Source organism: Homo sapiens, chromosome 16, assembly GCF_000001405.40.
Source record: "Homo sapiens chromosome 16, GRCh38.p14 Primary Assembly".
Taxonomy (NCBI): domain Eukaryota; kingdom Metazoa; phylum Chordata; class Mammalia; order Primates; family Hominidae; genus Homo; species Homo sapiens.
Genome location: NC_000016.10, coordinates 12,063,251 through 12,085,932, shown reverse-complemented (window position 1 = coordinate 12,085,932; position 22,682 = coordinate 12,063,251). Strand labels below are relative to the sequence as shown.

At 46.8% G+C, this 22,682-nt stretch overlaps 1 protein-coding gene and 1 pseudogene across 22 annotated transcripts in view, besides 3 other annotated features; both read right to left on the bottom strand.

Annotated features, from left to right (window-relative positions):
- The window catches only part of SNX29 (sorting nexin 29), a 597,554-nt gene that overhangs the window by 488,355 nt on the left and 86,517 nt on the right, over positions 1 to 22,682 (bottom strand). For all 22 annotated transcript variants that reach the window (XR_001752024.3, NM_032167.5, XM_017023874.2 and 19 more), the window contains 2 exons: positions 16,801 to 16,876; positions 7,018 to 7,100 (listed from right to left, as the gene is read on the bottom strand). Coding sequence is in view for 21 of the 22 variants with exons in the window: in NM_032167.5 (NP_115543.3) it covers positions 7,018 to 7,100; positions 16,801 to 16,876 (159 nt within the window). In the remaining variant the exon portion in view is untranslated. The remainder of the gene's footprint in view (positions 1 to 7,017; positions 7,101 to 16,800; positions 16,877 to 22,682) is intronic.
- On the bottom strand, positions 4,401 to 4,696 carry RPS23P6 (ribosomal protein S23 pseudogene 6; annotated as a pseudogene).
- Positions 10,004 to 10,554: an enhancer, noted in NCBI's record as "H3K27ac-H3K4me1 hESC enhancer chr16:12169236-12169786 (GRCh37/hg19 assembly coordinates)". NCBI's record gives its function as "activates a minimal SCP1, AML or CMV promoter by ChIP-STARR-seq in naive H9 embryonic stem cells {active_cell/tissue: H9 hESC(naive)}" and the evidence as "EXISTENCE:reporter gene assay evidence [ECO:0000049][PMID:30033119]".
- Positions 17,767 to 18,061: a silencer, noted in NCBI's record as "tiled region #15429; HepG2 Repressive non-DNase unmatched - State 12:CtcfO". NCBI's record gives its function as "represses a minimal TATA promoter and a strong SV40 promoter by Sharpr-MPRA in HepG2 cells {active_cell/tissue: HepG2}" and the evidence as "EXISTENCE:reporter gene assay evidence [ECO:0000049][PMID:27701403]".
- Positions 17,773 to 17,872: an enhancer, noted in NCBI's record as "active region_10464". NCBI's record gives its function as "activates an Ori minimal core promoter by ATAC-STARR-seq in GM12878 lymphoblastoid cells {active_cell/tissue: GM12878}" and the evidence as "EXISTENCE:reporter gene assay evidence [ECO:0000049][PMID:35858748]".

The window sequence follows — 22,682 nt, the reverse complement described above, 5'->3', positions numbered from 1 at the left end:
CATGTCTGGCACACAGTAGGTGCTCAGTAACTATCTGTTCTACTAGCCATGAGGCCTTGGGCAGGTACTTACCCTCCTAAGCCTCATTTTCTTATACAAAAGAGAATAATATAACCTACACCTCAGAAGGCTGCTGGGGGATTCAATGAGAAAACATAAATAAAAATGCTTCAGCACCATACATGGCATACAGTCAGTTTTACCAGAATATACTGTTACTTTTACTAGCTTCTATTTTGATAGATTATTATTCTAGTCAGAACTAGAATAATAAACAGACACATTTTATTAGAGAAGTAGGGTGGGGGCTGGGCACGGTGGCTCACGCCTATAATCCCACCACTTTGGGAGGCCGAGGCAGGAGGATCACCTGAAGTCAGGAGTTTGAGACCAGCCTAGCCAACATGGCAAAACCCCACCTCTACTAAAAATACAAAAATTAGCTGGGTGTGGTGGCGCGTGCCTTTAATCCCAGCTACTCCGAAGGCAGAGGCAGTAGAATCACTTGAACCTGGGAGGCGGAGGTTGCAGTGAGCCGAGATTACACCAGTGCATTCCAGCCTGGCCAACAGAGCGAGACGCCGTCCAAAAGGAAAGGGAAGAAGAGTGGAGAAGGAATATGGGGCCTCCAAAACAAATCAAATGCCACTCTCCTCGGACCTGCTGTGTTCTTAACAAGCCCATAGCATTCCAGAAGTTTGCTTTGAGGGTTTGTCAGGAACTGGTGGTAAGAGCTGACAGAAGAGGAGGCAGAAAAGCAAAGCCACTGGCCATGCGGGTGACTTCAGACAAGGGGAAAGGGCCCAGAGGGGACAGAAGACACTCACTGCCCTGGGGATTTCTTTTTTTTTTCTTTTTCTTTTTGAGACGGGTCTAGCCCTGTCACCCAGGCTGGAGTGCAGTGGTGTAATCATAACTCACTGCAGCCTTGACCTCCTGGGCTCAAAGAATCCTCCTGCCTCAGCCTCCCAATTAGCTGGGAATACAGGTACGCACCACCATATCCAGGTAATTTTTTTTATTTTTTATAGAGACAGAGTCTCACTATGTTGGCCTGGCTAGTCTCAAACTCCTGCCCTCAAGTGATCTGCCCACCTTGGCCTCCCAAAGTGCTGGGATTACAGGTGTGCGCCACTGCACCCGGCCTATTTATTGACTCTTAACTCTGATCCTGATGCTGTTCTAAGCACATCACAGTTATCTTCATGGCCGCCCATGATTTGGGTGTTGATCCTGTCACTCTATCTTGATAAGGACACGGTACTGAGGGGGCTGGGGCCACTCAGCTGGAACCTGAGCCCAGGCAGCTGAGCTTCCGAGTGTGCCCTCCCGGCCCTGAGGGCACATGGCCTCCCGAGAGCAACAGGCACAGCTGCAACTCCAACCCCAGGTACAGCTCCGTGTGCCCGAAACAAGAACTGGGAACCTACCTGCAGAAATGCAAGGCATCCCTGAGGCAGAATTATGGGTGTTTTAGTTTGCTCCAAACTGTCTTTACTGCTTTGCTAAATAATTAACTTTTTCACTTTGGAAAGCCGAGGTGGGCGGATCACAAGGTCAGGAGTTCGAGACCAGCCTGGCCAACATGGTGAAACCCTGCCTCTACTAAAAGTACAAAAATTAGCTGGGTGTGGTGGCGGGCATCTGTAATCCCAGCTACTCATGAGGCTGAGGCAGGAGAATAGCCTGAATCCGGGAGGCGGAGGTTTCAGTGACCCGAGATCGTGCCACTGCACTCCAGCCTGGGCGATAAGAGCAACACTCCGTCTCAAAAAAAAAAAAAAATTAACTTTTTCATAACAGGCTTTTGTATTTTCTGAAGTACCAGAGGGCCTTGCAGTAGGAGAACAATCATGTGGGTCTGGATACACCATCTTCTCTTCAGTAGTAAATAACCACAAGAATACAGTCCCTCTGAATGCCTCAGGACAAAACACCCTTTGCAATTTCAGAGATACCTGAGAGGGAAAGGTTGCTCGATAGAAGACTTCACAATTATCCGCAGGCACTGAGGATTAAATTACCTAGCTCTAGCTCAATTACAGTACAGAGGCAGCCACCTCCACAGATTATTACACGAAGCCAGGGAAGCCACTTGGCGGGATGTGAGTGAAGCATTCGCTGCTTTGTGGGGCAGAGCTGATGAGTTTCTTTGCCAAGCTCCTCTGGGGTTTCCAAGAGTCCAGTGACTGCTCTAGAGGAGAATCTCAGGTGCTTCACATGCAGCAATGGGATGCTCCATCTGAACTGGGACGGCATTTGCGACACTCACTCCTGGGACAACTCATGCTATGGACTGAATTGCATCCCTTCCCTAATGAACCAGTGGAAGACCTAACTCCCAATCGGAGTTTATATGGAGACAAGGCCTTAATGAGGTAATCAAAGTTAATAAGGTCATAAGCATGGGGCTCTGATCCCACAGGACCGGTGCCCTTATAAGAAGAGATAAGGGACACCAGGATGTGCCTGCAGAGGAAAGGCCACATAAGGACAGAGAGAAGGTGGCTGTCTGCAAGCCAAGGAAAGAGGCCTTACCAGAAATCAACCCTGCTGGCACCTTGATCTTGGTCTTTCAGCCTCCAGAACTGTAAGAAAATAAGTTTTGAGGGGTTTTTTTTTTTTTTGAGACATAGTCTTGCTCTGTCGCCCAGGCTGGAGTGCAGTGGTGCAATCTCAGCTCACTGCAGCCTTTGCCTCCCAGGTTCAAGCGATTCTCCTGCCTCTGCATCCCGAGTAGCCGAGATTACAGGTGCCAGCCACCACACCATGCTAATTTTTTGTATTTTTAGTAGAGACAGGGTTTCACCATGTTGGCCAGGCTGGTTTTGAACTCCTGACCTCAAGTGATTCCCCCCACCTCGGCCTCCCAAAGTGCTAGGATTACAGGCATGAGCCACCGTGCCCGGCCGAGAAAATAAGTTTTTGTTGTTGAAGCCACCCTATCTGTGGCCCCTTGTTATGGTAGCCCAAGCAAATACCCCGGACACCCAGACAGACCCACTCTTCTTACTCCTCTTGCATGTGACACAGGAGGTGATGGCAGGGTGGGAAAACACAAGTGAAAACCACCCTTCGCTCAAAATTTCTAGGATTCCTGACCCCTCATCTGTGCTGGATGACATCCAGGGTAGACAACAGCACTGTCCTTGAAGACTCCTAAAGGTACAGGCACCGCAGAAGACAGAAGCCCCTTGTCCCAGCCACCCACACACAATCCTAACCACAGACCACGTTTCTACCAAGTATCAAGGCTCAAATGCAGACATGGTGACATTTTTTTCTTCAGAGATTCAAGGTATAAGCTCTGGATATGTCCCAAACTTGCTCAAAATGCCAAATAATAAAATGATATAGTTTCTAAAAAATTGTCTGAGTCAAAACAAGAAAAACAATCTACGCCTCTGTCACTGGCCTAACTCGAGCATGTTTAAGGGCATGTATGTCATCACTGAAAATGCACAGGCAAGGCCAGTGACTTCCTCAAAGACAGAAAGCGGCTGAGGAAGGCCCAGACACCATGCTCTATGTGGACCTGAGACGCAGCTGACAAAGCAAACCGTGTTTATCTGAGATGCTGGGACCTCAGCCCCGGCCGCAGGAACTCTTGGGAAACAGAATGTCAGACACCTGCCAGGGCACACAGGGATGCCTGCAGCCCTACTTACGGTGCCTACAAAGGCTCGCAGGCATGATCTCGGGGCTGCTGTCCTTTAAAAAAAAAAAATGCCCATAAATCAAAACGCAGTGTTCTTTACAGTAGCTGTGCCTCACAGCCAGAGTCAAGTCTTGTCCATCTACACCACGGTGCCACCCACACAGAGACAGAATCATAGGTGCTGGGAAGCGATGTGGCGTTAGATCCCAGCAAGTCACAGGAGTGGCTTCTTTTCTCATCCTCAGTCCTCTCCATTACCATCAGTTCAGTAACAGGATAGCCTCAACACCTAATGTGACTCGCTGACACATCTCTTTGCCTTTGGCTTATAAAAATATATTTCTACTGTGTTTTCACCATCAAAATGTATTATCTTGGTCTTTCCTTCTTGCCTTTGCATAGGACCAAGGGAGAGCTACACTGACTACTCTGAGAACCTTAACTCGGACCCCAGGGATGTCACCAACAGCATGATCTTTGTGACCAAATCCAGCAATCAGAACTTCACCAAGGTTTTATCCCTAAATTTTTTTCCCCGAAATTTTTATTTTAGCTTTTTTTTTCTTTTCTTTTCTTTTCTTTTTTTTTTTTTTTTTTTTTGAGACAAAGAGTCTCGCTCTGGCACCCAGGCTGGAGTGCAGTGTCGCCATCTCGGCTCACTGCAACCTCCACCTCCCGGGGTTTAAGCAATTCTCTTGCCTCAGCCTCCCGAGTAGCTGGGATTACAGACATCTGCCACCACGCCTGGCTACAGAACTTCATTGTTGTCCTCAACTGAAGTCAAGCAGTCATCACTGAGTACAGAAGCTGTGATTTCTTGGTCAGTGGGGCCATAAAGAGCATCCTGATGGCAGGATGTGGCTGTTTGGTTTCAATCCCTACTTTTCCGGCACAATTCCCTTTTGGAGAAGCACTTCCAAAAGGGCTAGGTGCGGGGACTGCACCCAAATGGGCTTTCCTGCACTGCTGATCACCCCACTTCTGGTCTTGCTGGTGGTTACAGAGCTTCCCAGCAGTATGAAGACTGAGATACTTGCCACAGGCCGGGGCCAAAAAGAAGCAGCACTCATCTCTCTTTTGAACAACAAGAGTGGGTATCAATCGGAACCCAGGGCAGGCAACCACGCCAGGCACACTTAGTAATAGTTTCCTTCCACTGTCTTCATTTTACAGCGACCTGCTGGTTTCGTTAACTCATAGTGACTCTCCATTTACAGTAGTGAGATAAAGCTTCCTTTTTCAAAAAATAAAGGAATTCAATTTGTTTAAGTGCATCATTAAAAGTAAACTACAGTCTGGGCACGGTGGCTCACACCTGTAATCCCAGCACTTTGGGAGGCTGAGACCGGCAGATCATGAGGTCAGGAGTTCAAGACCAGCCCGGCCAACATGGCGAAACCCCATCTCTACTAAAAATACAAAAATTAGCCGGGCGTGGGCCTGTAATCCCAGCTACTTGGGAGGCTGACGCAGGAGAATCGCTTGAACCCAGGAGGTGGAGGTTGCAGTAAGCTGAGATCGTGCCATTGCACTCCAGCCTGGGAGACAAGAGCAAGACTCTGTCTCAAAAAAAAAAAAAAAAGTAAACTGTAGTAGGCCGGGCACGGTGGCTCATGCCTGTCATCCCAGCGCTTTGGAAGGCTGAGGCGGGTGGATCGCTTGATCCTAGGAGTTCAAGACCAGCCTGGACAGCATGGTGAGACCTCAACTCTACAAAAAAATAAATAAATAAAAATGAATAATAAAGTAAACTATAGGGTAAGTAACAGTACTGTGGTAAACAAAAGATTGACAGGTGAAAAGCAGCCAGCTACATACTCACCCACCCTGTGTCCCATGGACTGAGTGATCTATTAACACCTGCTCAGCGGAGTTCAGGGCTGAGCAGCGCCACAGTAAACCACACATGCTCACATACAAAAAGTGCGGCCAGCCGTTCCCACGCAGCAGCCTTACGGTGTCTGCTCACTTCCTGCTTCACCCTTGAATCAAAGAATGCTGGGTGCCTCCCAAACTCTTTCTTCCTTCCTTAGCAACAAAAACTAATTTCCTTTTTATCAAGAACAATTGCCCCCTCTGCAGCCAAGGGGGACCATGACATGAATGCTGGCCCAAGACACGAGTGGTATACTGTAAGCACCTTCTAGTGAAGGTCGGGGGAGCTTCAACGTTTTTGTACCAAGAGCCCATTTTGTAATCTAGGAATAACCATGGGCTCCTATTCAGGAAAATGTATTAAAATATATAAAACATACCATATCACAAAGGAAACCAATTACATCAAAATAGAATGATCATGATTGAAGAAAATACTATATTTCACCCAGAGCTAAATGAAAAACATTGTAATTTTTTTCCCTATCCAAGCTCAGGCCCCTGAATCCTATATGTAGAAATAGACGAAGTCTCTCTGCTCTCTCCTCCTTCCTGCCGCCTGGAATGAGAATGAAATGGCTGGAGCTAAAATGGCTATTTTGGTCTACAAGGCAAGACAGGAGGAGTCCCGGTCTCTGATGGCCGTGGAGCCACATACCAGCCCCAGCCCATCTACCTCTGGATAGAGAGAAATTTCCATCACATCTCCTTAACCACCGGAACTTCAAGAAGAGTAGGTCTGAATGGCTTTGTGTACAAAAAATAAACCAACTGTTGGTTTACATAGTGTCTGCTCACTTCCTGCTTCACCCTTGAATCAGAAAATGCTAGGTGCCTCCCAAACGCCTTCTTCCTTCCTTAGCAACAAAAGCTAATTTTTTTTTTTAATTGGGAACAAGTGCCCCCTCTGCCTCCAGGGGAGGCCATGGGACAAATGCTGGCTCAAGCCACCAGTGAGATACCAGGAGCACCCGTCAGTTTACATAACAGTTGGTTTATTCTTTGTTATACAAAGCCATTCAAACCTAGTCTTCCTTGCTATATCTCTAATACTTTTTCTAGGTAGTAAAGTTGGAAACAGTTGAAGCCTGATCATTAGCAAAGTTTAATCATCTTGGAGAGACATATTCTTCTTCACTTACAAAAATGAGTCCTTCAGAGTTACAAAGGAAATCCAACTAGAATAGGTCCTCTGTAGCTAACTGCATTATGGGAGGCAAACCCCAAAACCTGGAACCACAGAAGTCTACGGCAAGGCTGCTCCATCCTGAGGCACGCCCTTTAGCGCGCACACGCCCAAGCGCCACGCATTAACCACGGTTCTGGATATCCACAAGCACGTACCACACCTCCAGTCTACAACCAGGGACGTACACACCTGACGTGAACCCACAGTCACAGGGTTAGAAGCACAAAGGCACCGCCATGAGACGTGGGCCAGAAGTCATCCCAGAGCTGGTGGAGGGGGCTGCGAAAGTACTTACTAATTGTCATGGACTCTGGCACTGAGGCAGAAGGTAACAGGCTGCTCAGAGGACTTCCGTGGCCTGGAGAGCTGGCTTCCACACTAGGAAAAAGCAGGCAGGAGGAAGTTACACTCGGCCACTGAAAGTACACACCCTCACCATTCCAAAAACTAGCAGAGGTCGGTTTACTCCGGTACCTCTACTAGAAGGGATAGAGGCAGTCATTGGAAATTAGTCAGGCCTCGTTATCTGCAGATTCCGTATTTGGAAATTCATCTACGCACTAAAATTTATTTGTAACCCCAAAGTCAATACTTGAGGTGCTTTCACAATCATTCATGAACACGTGCAGAGGCCAATAATTTCACTCCCTAATGTGCATAATCTCAGCTGAAGTCGAACAGCTGGGACCTCAGATCTCACACCGTAAACAAGCATCCTCTTTGCTGTCTATTTACTGCCATGTTTTTAGCATTTTTTTTTCCACTTTTCTTTCTTTTGCGTGATCTCGGCTCACTGTAACCTCCACCTCCTGGGTTCAAGCGATTCTTGTGCCTCAGCCTCCCAAGTAGCTGGGATTACAGGCCCGCACCACCACACCCGACTAATTCTTGTATTTTTACTAGAAATGGGGTTTCGCCAAGTTGGCCAGACTGGTCTCAAAGTCCTGACCTCAAGTGATCCACCTGCCTCAGCCTCCCAAAGTGCTGGGATTACAGGCATGACCCACCACACCCGGCCTTTTTTTCCACTTGATTTTATTGTTTAAAATGTCCCCAAGCACAGTGCTGAAGTGGTACTGCCGACAGTTCCTAAGCACAGGAAGGCTGTGATGTGCCGTATGGAGATAATTTGTGAGTTAGAGATGCTTCATTCAGGCATGGCTTACAGTGCTGCTGGCTGTGAATTCAATGTTAATGAATCAACTGCATACATTAAACAAGGTGTCTTTAAACAGGAACAGACATAAAACCAGGTTATGTGTTGATCAGTTGATAAAAATGCTGTGACCAGGCCAGGTGTGGTGGCTCATGCCTGTAATCGCAATACTTTGGGAGGCCGAGGCGGGTGGATCACATGAGGTCAGGAGTTCGAGACCAGCCTGGCGAACATGGCAAAACCCCTTCTCTACTAAAAATACAAAAATTATCTGGGTGTGGTAGCACATGCCTGTAATCCCAGCTACTTGGGAGGCTGAGGCAGGAGAATCACTTCAACCCAGGAAACAGAGGTTGCAGTGAGCCAAGATCACGCCACTGCACTCCAGCCCCGGGCAAAAGAGCAACAGTTCATCTCAAAAACAAAATGTGTGACCAGAGCCTCAAAGCAACTTAACCATGTACTTCCCCTAGGAGCACTGGTTCAGTCTTCATAGCAACTTTATAGAATACAACTACTGGGAATAATAAGAATCAACTGTATGTTTACAAATAATTTACAACATGAAAAATAAAGTTTAGTGTCTTTGGTGAGAACAGCACGGTCATCACATGGTTAACAGAGATACACACACACACACACACACACACACACACACACACACACACCATGACTAGGAGGAAAAGTACCAAAACATCAACAACATAATGAAGTTGAGGGTTAAGACTGATTTTCTTTTTTCATTTACTGTTGCATTTTCCAATTTTTTTTTTTTTAAGACAGGTTCTCACTCCGTTAACTAGGCTGGAGTGCAGTGGTGCAATCTCAGCTCGCTGAAGGCTTGAACTCCTGGGTTCAAGTGATCTTCCCACATCAGTCTCCCAAGTAGCTGACACTACAGGCATGCACCACCACATCTGGATAATTTTTGTTGTTGTTTTATTTGTAAAGACAGGGTCTCACTTGCCCAGACTGGTGGTGTTGAACTCCCGGCCTCAAGTAATCCTCCCACCTTGGCCTCCCAAAGTGCTGAGATTACAGGCATGGGCCACCATGCCTAGTCACATTTTCTAAAATAAATAGCAAAAAAAGACTCCACCCCCTGGAAGGGTCTGGCAACACCAATTCCTTCTGACACTGAACTAACTGCGACAAGCTTCCTACAAGCAATGTCATTTTGAGAGAGCAGAACCCTTGACTGTTCCAGGTAAGACCATGGCATCTAATATGGTTTACGGTAGTCAGGAAGTTCCACTCTAGAGCTAGGTTTGAAAATAAGGATGTAATAGCACCCTGGGACCCCAAATTACAGCCAAGAGGAGAGACAGAAGAAGAAAACGGTAATAGCAGCAAGGATGGCAGTGGCATAAGACTTTGGTGTCCATTTCAGTTCTGCCACCAAGCATCCAGGGTCTCGCTTTGTCACCCAGGCTACATAAAAATGTTATGACCAGGCTGGGCGTGGTGGCTCACGCCTGGAATCCCAGCACTTTGGGAGGCCAAGGCAGGCGGATCACATGAGGTCAGGAGGTCGAGACCAGCCTAGCCAACATGGCGAAACTCCGTCTCTACTGAAAAATACAAAAATTAGCCGGGCATGGTGGTGGACATGTGTAATCCCAGGTACTTGGGAGGCTGAGGCAGGAGAATCACTTGAACCCAGGAGGCGGATGTTGCAGTGAGCCAAGATGGTGCCACTGCACTCCAGCCTGGGCGACAGAGTAAGACTGTCTCAAAAAAAAAAAAAAAAAGGGAGGAGCCAAGATGGCCGAATAGGAACAGCTCCAGTCTACAGCTCCCAGCGTGAGTGACGCAGAAGATGGGTGATTTCTGCATTTGCATCTGAGGCACTGGGTTCATCTCACTACGGAGTGCCAGACAGTGGGTGCAGCGCACCATGCACCAGCCAAAGCAGGGTGAGGCATTGCCTCACTCGGGAAGCGCAAGGGGTCAGGGAGTTCCCTTTCCTGTTCAAGGAAAGGGGTGACAGACGGCACCTGGAATATCGGGCCACTCCCACCCAAATACTGCGCTTTTCCGAAGGGCTTAGGAAACAGCGCGTGAGGAGATTATATCCCGCACCTGGCTCGGAGGGTCCTACACCCATGGAGTCTCGCTGATTGCTAGCACAGCAGTCTGAGATCAAACTGCAAGGCGGCAGCGAGGCTGGTGGAGGGGCACCCACCATTGCCCAGGCTCCCTTAGGTAAACAAAGCAGCCAGGAAGCTCGAACTGGGTGGAGCTCACCACAGCTCAAGGAGGCCTGCCTGCCTCTGTAGGCTCCACCTCTGGGGGCAGGGCACAGACAAACAAAAAGACAGCAGTAACCTCTGCAGACTTAAATGTCCCTGTCTGACAGCTTTGAGGAGAGCAGTAGTTCTCCCAGCACGCAGCTGGAAATCTGAGAACGGGCAGACTGCCTCCTCAAGTGGGTCCCTGACCCCTGACCCCTGAGCAGCCTAACTCGGAGGCATCCCCCAGTAGGGGCAGACTGACACCTCACACGGCTGGGTACTCCTCTGAGACAAAACTTCCAGAGGAACGATCAGACAGCAGCATTCGCGGATCACGAAAATCCCTGGTTCTGCAGACACCGCTGCTGATACCCATGCAAACAGGGTCTGGAGTGGACCTCTAGCAAACTCCAACAGACTGCAGCTGAGGGTCCTGTCTGTTAGAAGGAAAACTAACAAACAGAAAAGACATCCACACCAAAAACCCATCTGTACATCACCATCATCAAAGACCAAAAGTAGATGAAACCACAAAGATGGGGAAAAAACAGAGCAGAAAAACTGCAAACTCTAAAAAGCAGAGCACCTCTCCTCCTCCAAAGGAACACGGTTCCTCACCAGCAACGGAACAAAGCTGGACGGAGAATGACTTTGACGAGTTGAGAGAAGAAGGCTTCAGATGATCAAACTACTCTGAGCTACAGGAGGAAATTCAAACCAAAGGCAAAGAAGTTGAAAACTTTGAAAAAATTTAGACGAATGTATAACTAGAATAACCAATATAGAGAAGTGCTTAAAGGAGCTGATGGAGCTGAAAGCCAAGGCTCGACAACTAGGTGAAGAATGCAGAAGCCTCAGGAGCCGATGCGATCAACTGGAAGAAAGGGTATCAGTGATGGAAGATGAAATGAATGAAATGAAGTGAGAAGGGAATTTGAGAGAAAAAAGAATAAAAAGAAACGAACAAAGCCTCCAAGAAATATGGGACTATATGAAAAGACCAAATCTGCATCTGATTGGTGTACCTGAAAGTGACGGGGAGAATGGAACCAAGTTGGAAAACACTCTACAGGATATTATCCAGGAGAACGTCCCCAATCTAGCAAGGCAGGCCAACATTCAGATTCAGGAAATACAGAGAACGCCACAAAGATACTCCTGGAGAAGAGCAACTCCAAGACACATAATTGTCAGATTCACCAAAGTTGAAATGAAGGAAAAAATGTTAAGGGCAGCCAGAGAGAAAGGTCGGGTTACCCACAAAAGGAAGCCCATCAGACTAACAGTGGATCTCTCGACAGAAACTTTACAAGCCAGAAGAGAGTGGGGGCCAATATTCAACATTCTTAAAGAATTTTCAACCCAGAATTTCATATCCAGCCAAACTAAGCTTCATAAGTGAAGGAGAAATAAAATACTTTACAGACAAGCAAATGCTGAGAGATTTTGTCACCACCAGGCCTGCCCTAAAAGAGCTCCTGAAGGAGGCACTAAACATGGAAAGGCACAACCGGTACCAGCCACTGCAAAATCATGCCAAAATGTAAAGACCATCGAGACTAGAAAGAAACTGCATCAACTAACAAGCAAAATAACCAGCTAACATCATAATGACAGGATCAAATTCACACATAACAATATTAACTTTAAATGTAAATGGACTAAATGCTCCAATTAAAAGACACAGACTGGCAAATTGGATAAAGAGTCAAGACCCATCAGTGTGCTGTATTCAGGAAACCCATCTCACGTGCAGAGACACACATAGGCTCAAAATAAAAGGATGGAGGAAGAGCCACCAAGCAAATGGAAAACAAAAAAAAGGCAGGGGTTGCAATCCTAGTCTCTGATAAAAGAGACTTTAAACCAACAAAGATCAAAAGAGACAAAGAAGGCCATTACATAATGGTAAAGGGATCAATTCAACAAGAAGAGCTAACTATCCTAAATATATATGCACCCAATACAGGAGCACCCAGATTCATAAAGCAAGTCCTGAGTGACCTACAAAGAGACTTAGACTCCCACACAATAATAATGAGAGACTTTAACACCCCACTGTCAACATTAGACAGATCAACGAGACAGAAAGTCAACAAGGATACCCAGGAATTGAACTCAGCTCTGCACCAAGCAGATCTAATAGACATCTACAGAACTTTCCACCCCAAATCAACAGAATATATATTTTTTTCAGCACCACACCACATCTATTCCAAAATTGACCACATAGTTGGAAGTAAAGCTCTCCTCAGCAAATGTAAAAGAACAGAAATTATAACAGTCTCTCAGACCACAGTGCAATCAAACTAGAACTCAGGATTAAGAAACTCACTCAAAACCGCTCCACTACATGGAAACTGAACAACCCGCTCCTGAATGACTACTGGGTACATAACGAAATGAAGGCAGAAATAAAGATGTTCTTTGAAACCAACGAGAACAAAGACACAACATACCAGAATCTCTGGGACACATTTGAAGCAGTGTGTAGAGGGAAATTTATAGCACTAAATGCCCACAAGAGAAAGCAGGAAAGATCCAAAATTCACACCCTAACATCACAATTAAAAGAACTAGAAAAAAAGCAAGAGCAAACACATTCAAAAGCTAGCAGAAGGCAAGAAATAACTAAAATCAGAGCAGAACTGAAGGAAATAGAGACACAAAAAACCCTTCAAAAAATTAATGAATCCAGGAGCTGGTTTTTTGAAAGGATCAACAAAATTGATAGACCGTTAGCAAGACTAATAAAGAAAAAAAGAGAGAAGAATCAAATAGACGCAATAAAAAATGATAAAGGGGATATCACCACCGATCCCACAGAAATACAAACTACCATCAGAGTATACTACAAACACCTCTACGCAAATAAACTAGAAAATCTAGAAGAAATGGATAAATTCCTCGAAACATACACTCTCCCAAGACTAAACCAGGAAGAAGTTGAATCTCTGAATAGACCAATAACAGGATCTGAAATTGTGGCAATAATCAATAGCTTACCAACCAAAAAGAGTCCAGGACCAGATGGATTCACAGCCGAATTCTACGACAGGTACAAGGAGGAACTGGTACCATTCCTTCTGAAACTATTCCAATCAATAGAAAAAGAGGGAATCCTCCCTAACTCATTTTATGAGGCCAGCATCATCTTGATACCAAAGCCGGGCAGAGACACAACCAAAAAAGAGAATTTTAGACCAATATCCTTGATGAACATTGATGCAAAAATCCTCAATAAAATACTGGCAAACCGAATCCAGCAGCACATCAAAAAGCTTATCTACCATGATCGAGTGGGCTTCATCCCTGGGATGAAAGGCTGGTTCAACATACACAAATCAATAAATGTAATCCAGCATATAAACAGAACCAAAGACAAAAACCACATGATTATCTCAGTAGATGCAGAAAAGGCCTTTGACAAAATTCAACAACGCTTCATGCTAAAAACTCTCAATAAATTAGGTATTGATGGGACGTATCTCAAAATAATAAGAGCTATCTATGACAAACCCACAGCCAATATCATACTGAATGGGCAAAAACTGAAAGCATTCCCTTTGAAAACTGGCACAAGACAGGGATGCCTTCTCTCACAACTCCTATTCAACATAGTGTTGAAAGTTTTGGCCAGGGCAATTAGGCAGGAGAAGGAAATAAAGGGTATTCAGTTAGGAAAAGAGGAAGTCAAATTGTCCCTGTTTGCAGACGATGTGACTGTATATCTAGAAAACCCCATTGTCTCAGCCCAAAATCTCATTAAGCTGATAAGCAACTTCAGCAAAGTCTCAGGATACAAAATCAATGTACAAAAATCACAAGCATTCTTACACAACAATCACAGACAAACAGCCAAATCATGAGTGAACTCCCATTCACAATTGCTTCAAAGAGAATAAAATACTTACGAATCCAACTTACAAGGGACGTGAAGGACCTCTTCAAGGAGAACTACAAACCACTGCTCAATGAAATAAAAGAGTATACAAACGAATGGAAGAACATTCCATGCTCATGGGTAGGAAGAATCAATATCGTGAAAATGGCCATACTGCCCAAGGTAATTTATAGATTCAATGCCATCCCCATCAAGCTACCAATGACTTTCTTCACAAATTGGAAAAAAACTACTTTAAAGTTCATATGGAACCAAAAAAGAGGCCGCATTGCCAAGTCAATCCTAAGCCAAAAAGAACAAAGCTGGAGGCATCACGCTACCGGACTTCAAACTATACTACAAGGCTACAGTAACCAAAACAGCATGGTACTGGTACCAAAACAGAAATATAGATCAATGGAACAGAACAGAGCCCTCAGAAATAATGCCGCATACCTACAACTATCTGATCTTTGACAAACCTGAGAAAAACAAGCATTGGGGAAAGGATTCCCTATTTAATAAATGGTGCTGGGAAAACTGGCTAGCCATATGTAGAAAGCTGAAACTGGATCCCTTCCTTACACCTTATACAAAAATTAATTCAAGATGGATTAAAGACTTACATGTTAGACCTAAAACCATAAAAACCCTATAAGAAAACCTAGGCATTACCATTCAGAACATAGGCATGGGCAAGGACTTCATGTCTAAAACACCAAAAGCAATGGCAACAAAAGCCAAAATTGACAAATGGGATCTAATTAAACTAAAGAGCTTCTGCACAGCAAAAGAAACTACCATCAGAGTGAACAGGCAACCTACAGAATGGGAGAAAATTTTCGCAACCTACTCATCTGACAAAGGGCTAATATCCAGAATCTACAATGAACTCAAACAAATTTACAAGAAAAAAACAACCCCATCAAAAAGTGGGCAAAGGATATGAACAGACACTTCTCAAAAGAAGACATTTATGCAGCCAAAAGACACATGAAAAAATGCTCATCATCGCTGGCCATCAGAGAAATGCAAATCAAAACCACAATGAGATACCATCTCACACCAGTTAGAATGGCAATCATTAAAAAGTCAGGAAACAAAAGGTGCTGGATGTGGAGAAATAGGAACACTTTTACACTGTTGGTGGGACTGTAAACTAATTCAACCATTGTGGAAGTCAGTGTGGCGATTCCTCAGGGATCTAGAACTAGAAATACCATTTGACCCAGCCATCCCATTACTGGGTATATACCCAAAGGACTATAAATCATGCTGCTATAAAGACACATGCACACATATGTTTATTGTGGCACTATTCACAATAGCAAAGACTTGGAACCAACCCGAATGTCCAACAAAGATAGACTGGATTAAGAAAATGTGGCACATATACACCATGGAATACTATGCAGCCATAAAAAATGATGAGTTCATGTCCTTTGTAGGGACATGGATGAAACTGGAAATCATCATTCTCGGTAAACTATCGCAAGGACAAAAAACCAAACACCACATGTTCTCACTCATAGATAGGAATTGAACAATGAGAACACATGGACACAGGAAGGGGAACATCACACTCTGGGGACTGTTGTGGGGTGGGGGGAGGGGGGAGGGATAGCATTAGGAGATATAGCTAATGCTAAATGACGAGTTAATGGGTGCAGCACACCAGCATGGCACATGTATACATATGTAACTAACCTGAACATTGTGCACATGTACCCTAAAACTTAAATAATAAAAAAAAAGCATCCAACAACTTGGGAGAACTCAATTTCCCCTTGAGATACTTTATTTGAAAAAACAAAAAGAAAACCTATATAGTGCTTAATACATGCCAGACAGCATACTAAGCCCTTCACAAATACTATGTAATATCTAAATGGCTTAAATATACAACACTAGGATGGTCAAATCTTGTTATCAAATATCAACAAATATTTAAATTAAGAAAATAACAGGCCGGGCACGGTGGCCTGTAATCCCAGCACTTTGGGAGGCCGAGGCGGGCGGATCACGAGGTCAGGAGATCGAGACCACGGTGAAACCCCATCTCTACTGAAAATACAAAAAGTTAGCCGGGCGCAGTGGCGGGCGCCTGTAGTCCCAGCTACTCAGGAGGCTGAGGCAGGAGAATGGCGTGAACACAGCAGGCAGAGCTTGCGGTGAGCCGAGATTGCGCCACCGCACTCCAGCCTGGGCAACACAGCGAGACTGTCTCAAAAAGAAAAAAAGAAAATAACAATAGAGGAGGCACCCAGATATGCCCCAAAAGGTGTTGACATTCGTCATCTACCATCTCTTATACAGTCTCTCTGAGGCAGTAATGATCTAAGACCCTTGGCAACTGCATCTTCTGTGATGTAAAGACTAAATCTGCTCACATCAGTAATCCCAGCACTTTGGGAGGCCGAGGTGGGCAGATCACCTGAGGTCAGGAGTTGGAGACCAGCCTGGCCAACGTGGTGAAACCCTATCTCCACTAAAAATACAAAAAAATCAGCTAGGCATGGTGGTGTGTGCCTGTAATTCCAACTACTTGGGAGGCTCAGGCAAGAGAATCGCTTGATCTCGGGAGGCGGAGTTTGCAGTGAGCCGAGACTGCGCCACTGCACTCTAGCCTGGGCAACAGAACCGGGCTCCATCTCAAAAAAAAAGACTAAATCTGAACATAAATGTGAAGTAAACCCTTGCCCTTTAATCCTAGCAGGTGCACTCCTATCTTTAAAAAAGAATAAAATGCACAGCTGTGAATAGGATGTTTTAATGCCACAGGCAACTGGGTTTCTCAATATTAACCTGTACCGAAGTCCAGGATCTGGGAGAACGTGGTCCTCTGGTCCTGTCCCGTTCTCCAGGCTTCCGAGGGGGGCATCTGTGCAGAGAGAGCAATCACAGAAAGAGGTCACTTTTCTCACTACATGTTCTCCATAAGACAAAGACACAATGCAGACATTGGCTCATCTGCTACATCACTTGACTAAGAAATTTTTCTCCATCTCTCCTGCAAGCTGGATTTTAATCAGCTGTTTCCTGTTGTTCAGAGATAATCTCAGACTTGGCATCAGTCACTGTAGAAGCAGAAAGCCCTATACTTGGCCGGGCATGGCGGCTCACTCCTGTAATCCCAGCACTTTGGGAGGTGGATCACCTGAGGTCAGGAGTTCGAGACCGGCCTGGCCAACATGGTGAAACCCCATCTCTACTAAAAATACAAAAATTAGCTGGGCGTGTTGGTGCACGACTGTAATCCCAACTACTCGGGAGGCTGAGGCAGGAGAATCGCTTGAACCCTGGAGGTAGAGGTTGCAGTGAGCCGAGATCGTGCCATTGCACTCCAGCCTGGGCAACAAGAGCGAAGCTCCATTAAAAATTTTTTTTTAAAAGCCCTATACTTCCCCTTAACCTGTGACTTTTTTTTTTTTTTTTTTTTTGAGACAGGGTCTCACTGTGTCACCCAGGCTGAGATGGAGTGCAGTGGTGGTGTGTGATCACGGCTCACTGCAGCTTCAACCTCCCAGGCTCCAGTGGTCCTCCCACCTCAGCCTCTCAAGTACCTGGGAGGGACTACAGGTGTGTGCCACCATGCCGAGCTAATTTATTTTTTATTTTTTTTTGTAGAGATGGGGGTCCCACTATGTTGCCCAGGCTGGTCTCAAACTCCTGGGCTCAAGCAATCCTTCCGCCCTGGCCTCCCAAAGTGCTGGGATTACAGATGTGAGCAACTGTGCCTGGCCTGTGACATTTTCGACCTTGAGCCACCTGGAATTATGCATGAAGTCCATATTCAGAACCAGGGCCAGAAACCGGGTATAATGAATCAGCTTGCTGTTAAGACAAAACTGCTCCTGCTTGTAGTGCCTTGAATCAGACAGTAGAGGGCAGCATGGTCTAATTCCTGACAATGTCTGCGGCTTTCTAAAAAGGCCAATTTTCCCTGCATTAAGTGCATTTAGGAAAGGCATTCACAAGAGCTGGGGCCATAAGTAGTCTCTGGAACTAACGGGCTAGGGACCTGAACAATTTTCATAAATGCTCAAGTCTCCTTCCAGGAAAACATGCAAATCCATAAGCCTTGGGCTGCATGGTGACATTAAGGCCAGTATCACCCAGGAGAAACCTTGCTCACTCAAGAAACTTCTTGGGCCAGGCGCGGTGGCTCACGCCTGTAATCCCACCACTTTGGGAAGCCAAGGCAGGTGGATTACTTGAGGTCAGGAGTTCGAGACCAGCCTGGCTAACATGGCAAAACCCCGTCTCTACTAAAAATACAAAAATTAGCTGTGCGAGGTAGTGCACGCCTGTAATCCCAGCTACTTGGAAAACTGAGGTGGAAGAATTGCTTGAACCCAGAAGGTGGAGGTTGCAGTGAGCTGAGATTACGTCACTGCACTCCAGCCTGGGAGACAGAGTGAGACTCCGTCTCAAAAAGAGAAAAAGAAAAAGAAACTTATTAGTGAATGACCACTATGGAACCAGCCGTGCATCGGGGACAAGGAACATGGTGCTGGAGAGAGCACGCCTCGGTGCCTTCCTCATCCATCCTCCATGCCATTCCCTCCATCTTTGCTTGGCTTACTCAAGGTGCCCCAAGAACCCCCAGCTCTGTAGGGGCTGAACTTCAGGGAAACTTACCAGGAAAAAAAAAATTGTTTTAACCTTTTCTTCTACCTTGCTGTCTCCATCAAGTTATTTACTGACTCCAAATTCTCAAGAAGTTCAAGTCCACTTCCCCTCCCGCTTTTTTTAGAGGCAGGGTTTTCCTGTCACCCAGGCTGGAGAGCAGTGGCACGATTATAGCTCACTGCAGCCTCAAACTCCTGGACTCAAGAGAGCCTCCCACCTCAGCCTCCTGAGTAGCTAGGACTGCAGGCATGCACCCTCATGACTGGCCTGCTTATTTATTTATTTATTTATTTATTTATTTATTTATTTATTTATTTATTTATTTTAGAGACACGGTCTCACTATGTTGCCCAGACCAGTCTCAAACTCCTGGCCTCAAGCAATCCTCCTGCCTCAGACTCCCGAATGTTACATCTTAACGCATGTAAAACTCAATGAGAATGCTCAGTGAGGGTGGCATCAACTCACCCCATAACAGATCCTGGCTACCTCGGGCATTCATCCTCCCACCTGGTCAACTGGAATGGCCCAAGGAACCCCTCCCTCAGCCCCCACCCCACCATCCCCTCCTACTTGGCGCTCCCCTCTCTCAACCTTCCCAACACTAATCTCCGGCCCTCCTCCCCACCATCTTTTCTCTGATTCCTGAGTGAAGGTGGCCCTGAATCATGGCCCCAAGGCCCTCTGTCACCCTCGGCACATCTGGCAAGGTCTTGGCTACAGTTCTCACCTCCGTGAAGACGACAGTGCTCAAGCCCTCACCTCTAGCCCAGACCTGTCTTGAATCTCAGTCCCACATCTCTAACTGCCTTCTAGAAAACTCTACTGGGATACCCCGCTGTGCCTACCAACAGATCCTGACCCTCACAACCCCATCTTATGTCGCACTAGGCTGTAAGCTCACAAGAGCACGGCACCCACCCTCCATCCCATCACAGAGCCAGGGGGATCCAAGACTGCTCAGTGCCCCCAAAATGACCTCCTCCTCTTGGCTCACAAGTCGTGTCCACTGCCCCGTGGTCCAAAGGCTCCATACCATCTAAGAGGCCTTCTACAGCAGACGCCCCAGTTCCCTGTCATCCTTGCTAATCTAACTCATGCAGAGTCAGACTACATTCCCTGAAGCAAAGACAGGGACTCAACATGCAGAGTGGAAATCCACAGCTGGGGCAAAGGCATGGACCCACCCAGCCTTCAATGAGAGCGCTCAGTGAGGATACAATGTCCACACGGTCCCAGGTGATTGCCCACGGGCCCCTTCACGATGCACAACCGCGAATGGCTTGTACTTGTTGTGGGCCTGACGCTCTGGGGTGCACACAGCATAGACCGTCTCATCCTTAAGGCCCCCAAGACAGATACCATTATCTAATTTTACGGATGAGGAAATGGATCCCGAAAATTTAAGCAACTTGTTCAAGATCACAGAACTAACAAGTGCAAAGGTTTGAACCCTGGTCCGTCCAATGGCAGAGCTGAGCCTGTACCCACTTTAGCATACAGGCCTGCATCCAGTGATCCAGTGGGAAGACTGAATAAAGAAAACCAGGAACCCCAAACAGCACACAACCCGTATAAGCTGACTGGGAAGCACAACCAGGGCAGTGTCCGCCCAGCCACCGCAACACTGACAACCAAAACAGTAAAACTGCCCACTAAGAGCTAAGTGCTAAAACCAATCACATCAGATTATGGCAGAGCCACCACAGTCTGTCCTCAACCTCAACAAACAACTTCCAAGATCCAACGTGAGGACAAGGAGAAATAGAACTTTAGACTTGATGGGGAAACAAAGGGTTTGAGGACCCAAGGTTTCAAAGGAACCTAAGAAAGCCCTTGGAAATTGTGCATTTCCTAAAACCCAATACTAAACACAGGACCCTCAATGAAGGGATGAGCAGTCATATCACCTTGTACTGACAGGTGATTTTTCACCCGTTTACTATTCCCACTCAAAATAAACCTGGGTAGCTCTCCCTTCCTTGCAACTGGAAAGCAATGCTGGTGAATTTGCTTTGCTCAGGTATAGACACCACATACTCCCAGAGGAACCACGCATGGTCCCCAGTCCTCATTTGCTTGTCTGGGGTCTCCTCTTGCAACCTGGGGTGCTGTCCCCTTCTGTGAATGGCTCTGTCACCCAAGAAAAGCAACTCCAAAACTCCTCCCTAAACCACAGAGTTATCTCTTCCAAGATTCAAGAGAACTCCTTTCAGGGTTCCCCCTTCTTTGCTCCTTTCTCCCTCCCAACACTCAGCTGCAGAAAGCATCCTCTCCCAGCCAGTGCCTTTGCCTTCTCTAACTATCCCCACTGTCAGTGACTGCAAAGGCACCAGCGTGTTCAAAGATGACAAAAGTCTCCTAAGGTGAGGAGCCCTCCATGTGGGAAGTCTCCATTAAAAGACGAAGTGGCTCCAGAATGAGAGGGAATGTCAGAATATCTCTAAGGAAGGAAGATGTCCCTCAGAAGGGACAAAAGGCAGAAACAGAGCAAAAGGAATGGAGTCTCAGGAGAAATGGTGGCGGTGGCCACCTGGGCAGGCAGGCAGAGTCTTGGCACCAGTCGGCCCCACACCTCCCATGGAAATGGGGCATCAGGACAGAAGGGACTTGATGCAACCTGGCGTCCCAATCAGGCTACCCATTCCCCTGGCTCTGAGTCCAACATCCTGACACAGTCCTGGAATAATGTTTCTCCCTATGCCATGTCCTGCCCCTGTGCGCAGCCCCTGGGCTGTCCCAGCTCACAAGCCCCCTGACAGCATCGTTACTGCAGAGAAGGGAAATGCTGGCTGACGCCGGCACACGTCATCTCCAGAGAGTGCATTCGACATCAGCTGGAGCTCGGGTCCCATCAGCAGTGAGAAGATGGAGCTGACTCTGCGAGCTGACAGCCGGGTGTGGGACCACAGGAAATCTGCAAGGACTCTAGAGGCTGATGGGGAGCTACGTTCCCTGGACACACTTGCTACAGAAAGCCCAGAAGAGCAGGAAGAGCTCTGGGTTCTCTAAGACCAAAGCCCAACATGCACGAAAAAGGAGACCCGGATGTCTGATGGTTCAGGAGGCCCAGCTAAGCGGCAAAGGAGCTGACCCGGATGTCTGATGGTTCAGGGGGCCCAGCTAAGCGGCAAAGGAGCTGCCAAAACAATCAGACCACCTACTGCAAGCACCTCACGGTTCCACAATAATTCAAGAACCCAACTACAAGACCCCTCCATGGGGAACGGGACAAGGTGAGCAGGAAATTGATTCATGAGACAGAGCCTGTGAACACACATTCAAAACTCCCCAGGGGTCCTAGACACATCCTGGGACCACCTGCTCTCTCCCAGCCCCTGCCCCTCCTCAGATGACCTGCCTGCATCTACACTGCCGCTGAACAGGCATCAGCAAGGTCACCAACCCCGTAACCTTTGGCTATTTGGACCATGGATGGTCTAGAAATGCAGGACTTCGGTGGCCTGGCCTGCAAACATGAGCTAGGCCTACGAGATTGTCACTTTTAGGGGACCTCAACTGAGACCCATGAGAAATTCCAGTTGGTATGGAAGGTCATGTGACTGAGGCATGGTGTGGGCCAAGGAGGGCATGAGAATGAACAGGGAGCAAAGACGGACTAGAAAAGGCCGGGCACGGTGGCTCATGCCTATAATCCCAGCAACTGTGGGAGGCCAAGGAGGTGGATCACGTGAGGTCAGGAGTTTGAGATCAGTCTGGCCAACATGGCGAAACGCCATCTCTACTAAAAATACAAAAAGAATTTAGCCGGGCATGGTGGTGCATGCCTGTAATCCCAGCTAATCTGGAAGCTGAGGCAGGAGAATCACTTGAACCCAGAAGGCGGAGGTTGCAGTGAGCCAAGATCATGCCATTGCACTCCAGCCTGGGTGACAGAGTGAGACTCCACCTCAAAAAAAAAAAAAAAAAAAAAAAAAAGATGGACTAGGAAAAGAAGAGGTGGGCAGACCCCCATCAGGAAGTGGAGGGAGGCCACATAAGAAAGATGACAGCACCCCACCAAGTCAGGAAAGCCCCCTCCATGCCAACGCCCC